The 12,265-nt window shown below is 43.7% G+C and overlaps 2 annotated features.

Annotated features, from left to right (window-relative positions):
• Positions 650–1,149: an enhancer, noted in NCBI's record as "H3K4me1 hESC enhancer chr10:113864137-113864636 (GRCh37/hg19 assembly coordinates)". NCBI's record gives its function as "activates a minimal SCP1, AML or CMV promoter by ChIP-STARR-seq in naive H9 embryonic stem cells {active_cell/tissue: H9 hESC(naive)}" and the evidence as "EXISTENCE:reporter gene assay evidence [ECO:0000049][PMID:30033119]".
• Positions 1,150–1,651: an enhancer, noted in NCBI's record as "H3K4me1 hESC enhancer chr10:113863635-113864136 (GRCh37/hg19 assembly coordinates)". NCBI's record gives its function as "activates a minimal SCP1, AML or CMV promoter by ChIP-STARR-seq in naive H9 embryonic stem cells {active_cell/tissue: H9 hESC(naive)}" and the evidence as "EXISTENCE:reporter gene assay evidence [ECO:0000049][PMID:30033119]".

The following is a 12,265-nucleotide window of genomic DNA, read 5'->3' as shown; positions in this document are numbered from 1 at the left end:
CCTTAACATTTTTTCCTTCATTTCAACTTTGGTGAATCTGACAATTATGTGTCTTGGAGTTGCTCTTCTCGAGGAGTATCTTTGTGGCGTTCTCTGTATTTCCTGAATCTGAATGTTGGCCTGCCTTGCTAGATTGGGGAAGTTCTCCTGGATAGTATCCTGCAGAGTGTTTTCCAACTTGGTTCCATTCTCCCCGTCACTTTCAGGTACACCAATCAGACGTAGATTTGGTCTTTTCACTTAGTCCTATATTTCTTGGAGGCTTCGTTCGTTTCTTTTTATTCTTTTTTCTCTAAACTTCCCTTCTCGCTTCATTTCATTCATTTCGTCTTCCATCGCTGATACCCTTTCTTCCAGTTGATCGCATCGGCTCCTGAGGCTTCTGCATTTTTCACGACGTTCTCGAGCCTTGGTTTTCAGCTCCATCAGCTCCTTTAGGCACTTCTCTGTATTGGTTATTCTAGTTATACATTCTTCTAAATTTTTTTCAAAGTTTTCAACTTCTTTGCCTTTGGTTTGAATGTCCTCCCGTAGCTCGGAGTAATTTGATCGTCTGAAGCCTTCTTCTCTCAGCTCGTCAAAGTCATTCTCCGTCCAGCTTTGTTCCGTTGCTGGTGAGGAACTGCGTTCCTTTGGAGGAGGAGAGGCACTCTGCTTTTTAGAGTTTCCAGTTTTTCTGCTCTGTTTTTTCCCCATCTTTGTGGTTTTATCTACTTTTGGTTTTTGATGATGGTGATGTACAGATTGGTTTTTGGTGTGGATGTCTTTTCTGTTTGTTAGTTTTCCTTCTAACAGAGAGGACCCTCAGCTGCAGGTCTGTTGGAGTACCCAGCCATGTGAGGTGTCAGTCTGCCCCTGCTGGGGGGTGCCTCCCAGTTAGGCTGCTTGGGGGTCAGGGGTCAGGGACCCACTCTAGGAGGCAGTCTGCCCGTTCTCAGATCTCCAGCCGCGTGCTGGGAGAACCACTCCTCTCTTCAAAGCTGTCAGACAGGGACATTTAAGTCTGCAGAGGTTACTGCTATCTTTTTGTTTGTCTGTGCCCTGCCCTCAGAGCTGGAGCCTACAGAGGCAGGCAGGCCTCCTTGAGCTGTGGTGGGCTCCACCCAGTTCGAGCTTCCTGGCTGCTTTGTTTACCTAAGCAAGCCTGGGCAATGGCGGGCGCCCCTCCCCCAGCCTCGCTGCCGCCTTGCAGTTTGATCTCAGACTGCTGTGCTAGCAATCAGTGAGACTCCGTGGGCGTAGGACCCTCCGAGCCATGTGCGGGATATAATCTCCTGGTGCGCCGTTTTTTAGCCCGTCAGAAAAGTGCAGTATTCAGGTGGGAGTGACCCGATTTTCCAGGTGCTGTCTGTCACCACTCTCTTTGACTAGGGAAGGGAACTCCCTGACCCCTTGCACTTCCCGAGTGAGGCAATGCCTTGCCCTTCTTTGGCTCGTGCACGGTGCACGCACCCACTGACCTGCGCCCACTGTCTGGCACTACCTAGTGAGATGAACCCAGTACCTCAGGTGGAAATGCAGAAATCACCCATCTTCTGCGTCGCTCACACTGGGAGCTGTAGACCGGAGCTCTTCCTATTCGGCCATCTTGGCTCCTCCCCCACCAAAGCTTTTTTAATAAACTTCCACTCCTGTCCTGGAACTTGCCTTGGTCTCTTTTCTGCTGTATGCCCCTCAGTCTAATTCTTTCTTCTGAGGAGGCTAGGACTAAATTTGCTGCAGACATGTATGAATTTGCCACCAGTAACTTGGGGTAGCTCGAATCTCTTCCACCACTAACAATTCCACTGACCTTATCTGTTATCCTGAACTGCTGGGAGACAATAAGCTTAGTAATTGTTCATCATAGACTAATTCTTAAAAAAATGAAAAAAGTTTGAATATGTTAAGTTCTATCTGAAGGGCTTTTTTCTATAAGGTTGGTGGCTATTGAAAATGATTTGGTTTCATGGGCCACCAAAGTCCTCAGAATGAAATCTGCAGGCAGTAGTAGGTGCATGATAAGAGTGTTTTCCTGTGAGCCCCAAAGCTCTCTCAAGTCTGTTTCTTTTTGGTAATGTCTGGTTCCTCAAAGATTTTCTGGTTACTAATTACCAAACTTGGCCAATCATCAAAATGATAAGAATAGCCTTTTAAAAGCAGAGATGTCCATCCCTCACCTGTGGAGATTCTGATGGGACAGGATGGGAATCTGAAATTGCAAGGGGCTCACTCAGAAATCCTGATGGTTCTCTAGGTTTGGGAGACACTGACCTGAGCCATGGGCACTACCCAGAGACCCACAGTCAGACCTTGAGCTGTTAACCCAATTAGCATCAGTAAGAAATTATGTGTTGAGCTCTATTCTAGTCAGGGTTTGGTATGTGTGTTGGTGGTGGAGAGTGAGGGAGAATTCATTAAGGCTGTGGGATTGGCCAGTACTCTGTATGAGGGTTATGGATTATTGAGTGTGGGGAAGAAATGAGTGGTAAGTTTAGGGAACTAAAGACAGGTGGCCTGCTTGATGTAGGGAAGAACTGAAGAGAATATTTACACTGGGGATAGTGCCTGCACACCAGAGAACTCCAATCCTTTATTATCAATTCGTTTGAATTCTTTTGGCTACTGTATTAGTCTGTTTTCATGTACCATATCAGCTACCAAGAGGGATCCTCATTCTAAATATCTCTCTTGCTCTCCCTCTCTCTCAATGAAATACTTCCAACATTGTCTTAATATTTTTATGTGGGGAAAATAGAAGGAAGGGGTGAGAAAGGTAAGTAAGATATGTTGCTACAGGCAAAATTTCCCTCTACTTTGAAAATTTTGCAAAGTCTAGGAAACACTCACCAAATAGCATTTCACTGGCATTTGGACCACTCAGGACAGGTGGGTACAGGGGTACACAGGTGCTCTGGGGGTGCCCCACTTTTCCCAGGAACTTCAATATGTCCCAAAGAGGAGAGAGGTGGGGGTAGGGCGGGAGCTTATGTTCTTGGTGAACTCTTGGGTTTATGCAGTGAAGATTTCTTCACACATTCCAAGTAGTACTTACATACTGTGTAGCAAGTTCAGTTTGTAAGAATCTATTTAAAAGATGTCACCACACGTGTCAGAAAAAATATTCTTGCAAGGAAGGAGTTAGTCATGTTTCATATTGCAGGCAATTTGGAAGAATGGGATTTGGATTACAGGATATGAGTGCAATACAAATGTAATTGTTTGGAGGTAATTTGAAAAAAATGAAATATGCTTGTACTGGGAGTTCAAGGACATCAAGCAGTCTTTATAAGATGGAGTTTTGGGTGAAAGCTCTCTTGGAAATTATAGTCTGAGTTCTGAGCTGTCAGTCCAGGGACTTGGTCCTTCATTCTGGCTGAACTCTCAACTCTCTAAAAGGAAAGTAACTACTCTAAAAAGTCTTCACCATTCAAAGATTTCTTCTTGATGTTTTATGTAAATTGGCACTTTACTTCTTACCCTTTGATTGTACCACAAAACATAATCCTGTGGGCTTTGTTTATGATATTGTCAGTGCTTGAGATTTCAGCAAGGACAATATTTAGTTGGATGGGTATATGGTTTGGCTGTGTCCCCACCCAAATCTCATCTTAAATTCCCACATGTTGTGAGAGGGGCCTGGTGAGAGGTAACTGAATCATGAGGGCAGGTCTTTCCCATGCTGTTCTTGTGATGGTGAATAAGTCTCATGAGATCTGATAGTTTTAAAAAATGGAATTCCCATGGACAACTCTCTTCTCTTGTCTGCTGCCATGTGAGATGTGCCTTTCACCTTCCACCATGATTGTGGGGCCTCCCTAGCCACATAGAACTGTAAGTCCATTAAACCTCTTTCTTTTTTAAATTGCCCAGGCTTGTGTATGTCTTTATCAGCAGCATGAAAATGGACTAATACAGTAAATTGATACCAGTAGAATGGGGCGCTGCTGAAAACATATCCAAAAATGTGGAAGTGACTTTGGAACTGGGTAATAGGCAGAGGTTGGAATAGTTTGGAGGGCTCTAAAGAAGGCAGGAAAATGTGGGAACGTTTGGAACTTCCTAGAGACTTATTGAGTGGCTTTGATCAAAATGTTGATAGCGATATGGACAATAAAGTCCAGGCTGAGGTGGTCTAAGATAGAGATGAGGAACTTGTTGGGAACTGGAGCAAAGGTGACTCTTGTTATGTTTTAGTAAAGAGACTGGTGGCATTTTGCCCCTGCCCTAGAGATTCGTGGAACTTTGAACTTGAGAGAGATGATTTAGAGTACCTGGCAGAAGGAATTACTAAGCAGCAAAGCATTCAAGAGGTGACTTGGGTGCTGTTAAAAGCATTCAGGTTTAAAAGGGAAACAGCATAAAAGTTTGGAAAATTTGCAGTCTGACAAGGTGATAGAAAAGAAAATCCCATTTTCTGAGGATAAATTCAAGCCAGCTACAGAAGTTTGCATAAGTAAAGAGGAGCTGAATGTTAATCACCATGACAGTGGGGAAAATGTCTCCAGGGCACGTCAGAGACCTTTGTGGCAGCCCCTCCCTACACAGGCCCAGAGGTTTAGAAGGAAAAGATGGATTTGTGGCCTGGGCCCAGGGTCGCTCTGCTGTGTGCAGTCTAGGGACTTGGTGCCCCATGTCCCAGCTGCTCCAGCTGTGACTAAAAGAGGACAAGATGCAGCTCAGGCTGCTCCTTCAGAGGGTGGAAGCCCCAAGACTTGGCAGCTTCCACGTGGTGTTGAGCCTGCAGGTATGCAGAAGACAAGAATTGAGGTTTGGGAACCTCTGCTTAGATTTCAGAGGATGTATGGAAATGTCTGGATGCCCAGGCAGAAGTTTGCTGCAGGGGTGGGGCCTTCATGGAGAACCTCTGCTAGGGCAATGTGGAAGGGAAATGTGGGGTGGGAGCTCCCACACAGAGTCTCTACTGGGGCACTACCTTGTGGAGCTGTGAGAAGAGGGCCACTGTTCTCCAGTCCCCAGAATGGTAGATCCACTGACGGCTTGCACTGTGTGCACGGAAAAGCTGCAGAGACTCAATGCCAGCCCATAAAAGGAGCCATGTGGGAGACTATACCCTGCAAAGCCACAGGGGCAGAGCTGCCCAAGGCCATGGGAACCCACCTCTTGCATCAATGTGACCTGGATGTGAGACATGGAGTCAAAGGAGATCATTTTGGAGCTTTGAGATTTGACTGCCTTGCTGGCTTTTGGACTTACATGGGGCCTGTAGCCCCTTTGTTTTGGCCAATTTTTCCCATTTAGAATGGTGTATTTACCAAATGCCTGTATTCCCATTGTACCTAGGAAGTAACAAACTTGCTTTTAATTTTACAGGCTTATAGGCAGAAGGGACCTTCCTTATCTCAGATGAGATTTTGGACTGTGGACTTTTGAGTTAATGCTTAAATAAGTTAAGACTTTGGGGGACTGTTGGGAAGGCATGATTGGTTTTGAAATGTGAGAACATGAGATTTGGGAGGGGCCAGGGGTGGAATGATATGGTTTGGCTGTGTCCCCACCCAAATCTCATCTTGAATTCCCATGTATTGTGGAAGGGACACAGTGGGAGGTAATTGAATCATGGGGACAGGACTTTCCAGTGCTATTCTCATGATAGTGAATAAGTCTCACAAGATCTGGTGGTTTTAAAAAGGGGAGTTTCCCTGCACAAGCTCCCTGCTCTCTTCTTTTTTCTTGTCTGCCACCATATGAAATATGCCTTTCACCTTCTACTATGATTGTGGGGCCTCCCCAGGCAAGTGGAACTGTAAGTCCATTAAACTTCTTTCTTTTGTAAATTGCCCAGTCTCGGGTACATCTTTATCAACAGCACGAAAACAGACTAATACAGGTGGTGTTGAGATATGGAGATTGGTTTTAACAAGATTTAGATATTTCCTCCTTCTTTTAGCTTTGGTTTTTGGCATGGCTGACTCAGGTGTCAATTATTGTCTGTTGATGTGGCATTGAACATGTGTTTGCATAATACATAGGAATTTTAACTTGGAGGGAAATACTTGGGGAGCTCAAACCAGAAGCATAGAATCTTAATAGCTGGGAGTGTGAAAAGCTACATGAATGTGCAGTGTTAGAGCACAGGGTCCAAATCTATACTGCTTGGGTTCCAATCCGGTTCCATCACTTACTAGCTCTGGTTGATTAATAGCTTCCCCAAATCTCTATTCTTTGCAAAGTGTCTTTGCTCCTCCCACTAAGGAATAGAGTCTATTTCTCCAGCCTATGAATCTGGGCTAGCCTTGTGACATGCTCTATTCAACAGAATGCAGACAAGGTGATATCATGCCAATTCCAAGGCTCGCCCTTAAGGGTTCTTATATACTTCTGCCTTCTTTCAGAATGCTGGTTCTGCCTTGGGAACAGGCCAGAGCTAGCCAGCTGGAGCATAAAAGACCATGGGCAGGTGAATGGGGGCACTTCAGCCAACAGGAGCCAGCATCCAGAATTGGAGATGCCTTGCCAACCTGCAGTTGATGGCAAAAAGAGAAGGAGCCCCACCAAGCCAAGAAAAAGTGCATAGGTGATCCTAGCTTGAATTTTCAAGAGGTTTTGGGGAGTTTTGTAACTCAGCAATAGCTCACTCATCCGTGAGTGATATGATCATGGACACATTGCTTAACCTTTCTGTGCCTATTCCTTCCACCATAAATAGATATAATCGTATTTGCTCAGAGCCACGCTTGTGAAGCTCTTGGCCTGGTTCCTTGTGCACAGTAAGTGGTTATAGATATCAGTGTTTATACTTCAGGACAGATTTGCAGTAAGGCTTGGTCTGAGCTCATTTTGGAGTGTGCTGGTAACTGGTATGTAGCTGTAGTGCACTTTAGCCTGAAACTGTGCTGCTCTATGAGAGAAAGGAAATATGGCTAGGTGGGTAGAAGTCAGAGATTTTTCTCCCAGTTCTAGGGAAATATGAAGAGGTAAAGAGGCAGATCTTATCTTTGGAGGGAAGTCCACACCAGTTCCCAGAGGTGGGAGACTCCTAAGCCACAGGGGTAGAGATAGAGAGGGGCTCCCTATCCAGGCTGTTTGCTCTCTCCAGCCAGACTCTGCTTTCAATTGCTGTACAGAATCTGAGCTTTCAACATCAAGTAAAGCAATAATTTATTTCATGGAATTGGAGGCCTCAAAGCAAAGGAAATCAGATTGGTGTTTATTCTATGGTAGATGGGGCAGTATTGGCCGATCTTTCTCTATCAGGCTTCAGCAGACCCAGACACAGAAAAGCATCTTTCCAGACTCAGCCTTTAAAACTTCCCAGGGTCTGGGAAGGACTGAGGGCTTGGACACTGGAACCACAGAGAAGAGAGGTATGTGTCAGGTAGTGAAGGGGTTGGGGAGACACTGAGCATCAGAAGACCCATGGATATCTAGAAGAGGGCTGCTGGGACCCTGCTTCATGGGCTCCTGCTACCAGTCACAACTCATTTCCTTCCAAGATACAGCACAGCTTTTGCTCTGTAAGGAAATTTACCCCAGAGAGATGAGCCCACGTTATCTGCTTAGAGAGTTATTCGGAAATTAAGGAAGAGCCTGTTTGCACACTAAGCCCTATGTCTGGCACTTACAGGGACATCAAATATTAAATAGGCATAGTTCCTATCCTCAGGAAGCTTATACTCTTGCAGTGGTCTGCCATTCTGACTGCAGAGCAGAATCATCTGGGAACTTATAAAAAGTGAGGTCTGGTCTCCACAGCAGTCTGACTAAACTAGAATCTCTGGGAGTAGAACTGGGGCATTGGTATGTTTCAAATATTCCCCAGCTTTTCCTAATGTGCAGGCAGGTTGAGAATGGCTGACCTGAGTGGCAGGTACTTTTCACATCTCAAACAATAAAAAAGGCAGGGTGGTTCCATAGTTAGTTAATATATGGGTGAACTATCTTAAAAGATTATGTTCTTTTCACATCTCTTCTCTGCCATCTTCATGGTGTTAGCTTTGGTCCTCAGCCTCACGGTCACAAGATGGCTGCAGTAGTACCAAGCATCACTTCCTCATCAGTTGAATCTAGAGATGGAAAAAAGATAACATTTCCACGTATTTTTCTTTGTAAGAGTGAATAAAGCCTTTCCAAGAAGTTCTTCAGGAGATTTATCTTATAACCCTTAGTCCAGAATTGTATCACAAGTTCAAGCCTAAACTAAAATCTGGCAAAGCAAATCAAACCACTGTGGCTGGCTGAGATCAATTCATGACTCACCCTTCTATGATTGGAGAGGCAGTCACTTTGAGCATGTGGTCAAGCAAAGAATGGACCATGAACAATATTGGGACCTTACCGGAAAGGAATGAGGGGATAGGAATGGCTGATGGATTGTATCTGGCAGGATAGAATAGACTGGGCTGTGGTGACAAGCAAACCCCAGTATTTCAGTGGCTTAGCACAACAAAAGTTTACTTCTTACTTACAAAGTCTGATGCAGATTAGATGGAGTCTGTCCTCCATCTGGTGACTTGGATCCATGCTCCCTTGTCCCGCCATCTTGGTAGGTTCCCATTTCACCAGTTGGCCTCCAAGCTTGCTAGAACAGAGAGAGAGAGTGATGGTAGACACATTTTTTTGAACTACCTCAACCCAGAAGTGACACACTTCACAACTGCTCATTATCCATTGACTAGAACCAGTCAACTGGTCTTAACCTAATTCCACGGGAGACTGTGATGTATAATGGACATATGGAGGATTTTATGAGTGCTTGGCCATAGCAGGCAACTAAGAAGAAGGGATGGAAAATGTGAGTGGAGTTCAAGGGAAGAAATGGTTTTGGGTCAAAACATGCATGCACGTTGGTTGTGTCCAGCTTTTGCTTCCAAATGTGTTGGACTCCCACTGTCTCTACCACAAAGATGGAAATACCAGTTGCCACTTGCACTGATGCATTAGGGAGATTTTTGTTTATAGCTTTAAAAAAATTTTTAAAGAGCTTCTGAGCACCTCAGGGGCAGGAAATATGTAAATATTTGGCATCAGTATCATGCTGTTTGATGGCCCCAAAAGCTCCAGTCATTACTTAGCTGTGTATCTGCATCCTGACCCAGCAATAAGCGATAATACTCACATCTAGAGAGAAAAATGATGTTCCACAGCCTTGCCCAGTTTCTTCATGTCTTGGTTCAGTAGCTCGAAAGACCCCTTTCTGAACAAAATTAGTCCTTTTCTTCTATGTGCTTGAATTATTTTCAGAGAGCCATTATACTGACTTTTCTGTTTTTTCATAAGAACATGGATCAGGTTCTTTGATCAATGCAAATGTGTTTGTCCATCCGTGGGGCTGTGAATTGAATTTGGGGGGTCCAGAGCTTTTGGTGTAAACATCTTATCATGAAAAGAGACTATAAACTTTCCCAGAGCAGAAAAGTATCACTTATCTTCTCCATAGTACCTAACATAGTCCTGGGTTTACAATCAGAGCTCTGTAAATCCAATTTGATAGGAAATATGTGGACAGTTTTGTCTCCAGGGCTGGAATGTGCTGAATTCCTGGAGAACTGTTGGTAATGTACAAATAAAGTCGATTTTACTTTGTCAATGTGTGGGTTATCTATTTCATGATCTCTTCTAGGCAAAGTATTTGTCTCAGGATGGCGTCTTTCCCCAGGGCTGACATCACTAAATGCCAGTTTACAGATGCTCAGAAACTACTAACTAGTTTTAGAACAATGCTGCGTCACTTCGCTGAAGGTCATGAATCTGGTAACAACACCCATTACAATGCAGCTAAGACACAGGAGGTAAGCAACAAAAGACATTTTGAGCAGATGGAAGACATAAGAGAATTCTTGAGTTAAATTTCCTCGTATCAGAGTTCGTTAGAGTCTTACTCAGAGCCCAGTGACTACTGTTGTACCCAGAGTTCTAAAATAAATTATCATCTGGTCTCATAAAATGTCATAGTAGCATGCAGTATAAGGCTGGTTAAAGAAATGATGATTTCCATGCAATGAAAGGCAGTCATTTAAAATAACAATATAGCTCTATCTTGAGTAATATGGAAATATGTCCACTATCTGTCATTAAAGAACAAGACAATTTACAGAGCAGCATGCAGAGTTGTCCCTCAGTGAGAGAGAGACAGAGAGAAGAGAGAGAGAGAGAGAGAGAAAGAGAGAGACAGATGTGTGCTGGGCACTTCTTACAGCAGTGAATATTCCCCTGCCTCCATGGTGAGAAAAAGAGAAGAATCAATAGCAATTGCATTACAGGGGGGAAAGTACTGTGACGGGTGCTATGAGAGCACATGTGAGTACCCGCCTTGGGAAGTCAGGGGGGTCCTTCTGAAGGAAATCACATCCAACAATGATTACAATTGTATTATGCTGCAGTGTTATATTGTATCACATCTAATTATATATGACATCATTAATTAGGTAATAATTATAATGACAATAATGTCTAAGCTGGAACCAGGGAAAGAGGTTGAAGGCAGGTTTTTAGAGGGAGAATAAAATTCTTTTAGACAAAGGGATCTGCCTGTGGAAAGGCTTGAGGTGGGGCACGACTGGAAGAACTGAATGAAGCTCAGTCTGGCTTGCAATTTTAAAAATAATCAATGCTGACGTTTTTAGGTATTGAAATTTTATTTTATTTACTTCTTTATGCATAACTATTTTTAATATGTATACTGAACACATTTTTATTTTGTAGGGAAAAATCCTATGGATTTATTTTTGTTTTGAAAAACGGAAGAATATGTTTTGTCATCCGGAACATTTACTTAGGTGGTTCAGAACTTGTGTTTTGAAAAGAGCATGCAAACCTTACAGAAGCACCATGAACCAAATATAATGAGGAAATTATAAATGTATTCAAGTCTTTTGATTGCCAAAGGAAGATGCTTTTCTATCCTGTGCATAATTTTGATTGTCCACAGAACTGCTTCTTTTTAATATCAGGAAAGATCCTGGGAAGGACCAATTGCAGAAATTCATTCTGCCTTTTTGTTTCATGGAAATCCTAGACCTGAATTGTTCTTCAAATATCTTTTCTTCCTCTTTGCAGAAGCAGACAAATTCTAGGAGTTCATGGGAGGCCTCTCAGTCCTAAGCCCATAAAGGAGAAATATTACTGAGCATTCCTTCAATCTCTTCCTAAGAAGAAGGTGGAATGGCTCCAATTCCTCAGTCACTAAGGATTGGCCAGGTCATAGCCTGCACAAATGGTGGTGAGGATGGGAAATGGGGTGGGTCAAGGATGTTGAAGAAAAGTGCCTTTATGTGTCTTGTAGCCTTGGCTGTTGTCATGGTATCATCCAAAAGAACCAACCAGGAAGAAAAATGTTATTTGGGGATTATAGTTAGTTTATTCATCTCACGTGGGAGCCAGCTCACTTGAATCAAGTTTTCCTCTATTCTTGTTGTATGATATATTCTGAGATCCACTAAAAATTAGCAAATACAATATGGTGTGGTTAAGTAGTACTATGGTTGGGGAATTATAAGGTGCGATGGGAGTATCCAAGAAGAAAAGCTAATCTAGACCCCTGGTGGTCAGGGCAGGCTCCTCCCTGGGGCAGCAGTTGGCCATGATGAGGATAAATAATGAATAAGAGATAGCCAGAGAAAGGGGCGTAGGGAAAGGCTTTTGCAAGGAACTGGAAGTGGCTGGGTAGGATACAGCATAAGCCGCAAGTCAGGGTATGCTAAGCCGAAGACAGCGAGGAGAGGAGAGGCCAACTCAGGAAGCATCTTTTATTCTACATTCAGGAGTTTGGATTCTTCCCAGGGACAGTGGTACAATCAGACTTGCATTTTAGAATGTCCATTTTGTTGCAGGAGGAGAAGAGACTGGTGGAGGCAGCGAGGTGTTCAGCAGGCTGGTACCAGATTGAGAGAGAGAGAGACAATGTGGCCTAGCCTTGGAGATGGAGGCTCAGGTCATTCCATAGAAAGAAAAGAGACAGCCTTCATTTCTTTGGTCCTTTGTCTGAAGGAATTTCAATTAATTCAAATAGACTGCATTTATTTCTCAAGAGTCAGTGTCTCAGAACAATGTAGGTGGGAATAAAGACAGCTTTTCTAGACACTACAGGACACCTGGGGATGCTTGTGCAGCTCTAGGGCCTGGGCTGGTGGTGGATGCAGAATTCTAATTATGTGCAGAAAATCTGGTACAATATAACTGCTAAGTTTCCATTGCTCCTTCTCCTGCGCTGGAGTTCCAGTCTATAAGGCAGTGGTCTTCTCAGGGCTGTAGGGTGACTACAGCGGGCCCTGGAATCCATTTGTGCCTCTAGGCTGAGTAACAAATGTGTAGTACACAGGTATGA

This window comes from Homo sapiens, chromosome 10 (genome assembly GCF_000001405.40).
Source record: "Homo sapiens chromosome 10, GRCh38.p14 Primary Assembly".
Classification (NCBI taxonomy): domain Eukaryota; kingdom Metazoa; phylum Chordata; class Mammalia; order Primates; family Hominidae; genus Homo; species Homo sapiens.
The sequence above is the reverse complement of the archived record's forward strand: the minus strand, read 5'-3'. Positions and strand labels throughout refer to the sequence as shown.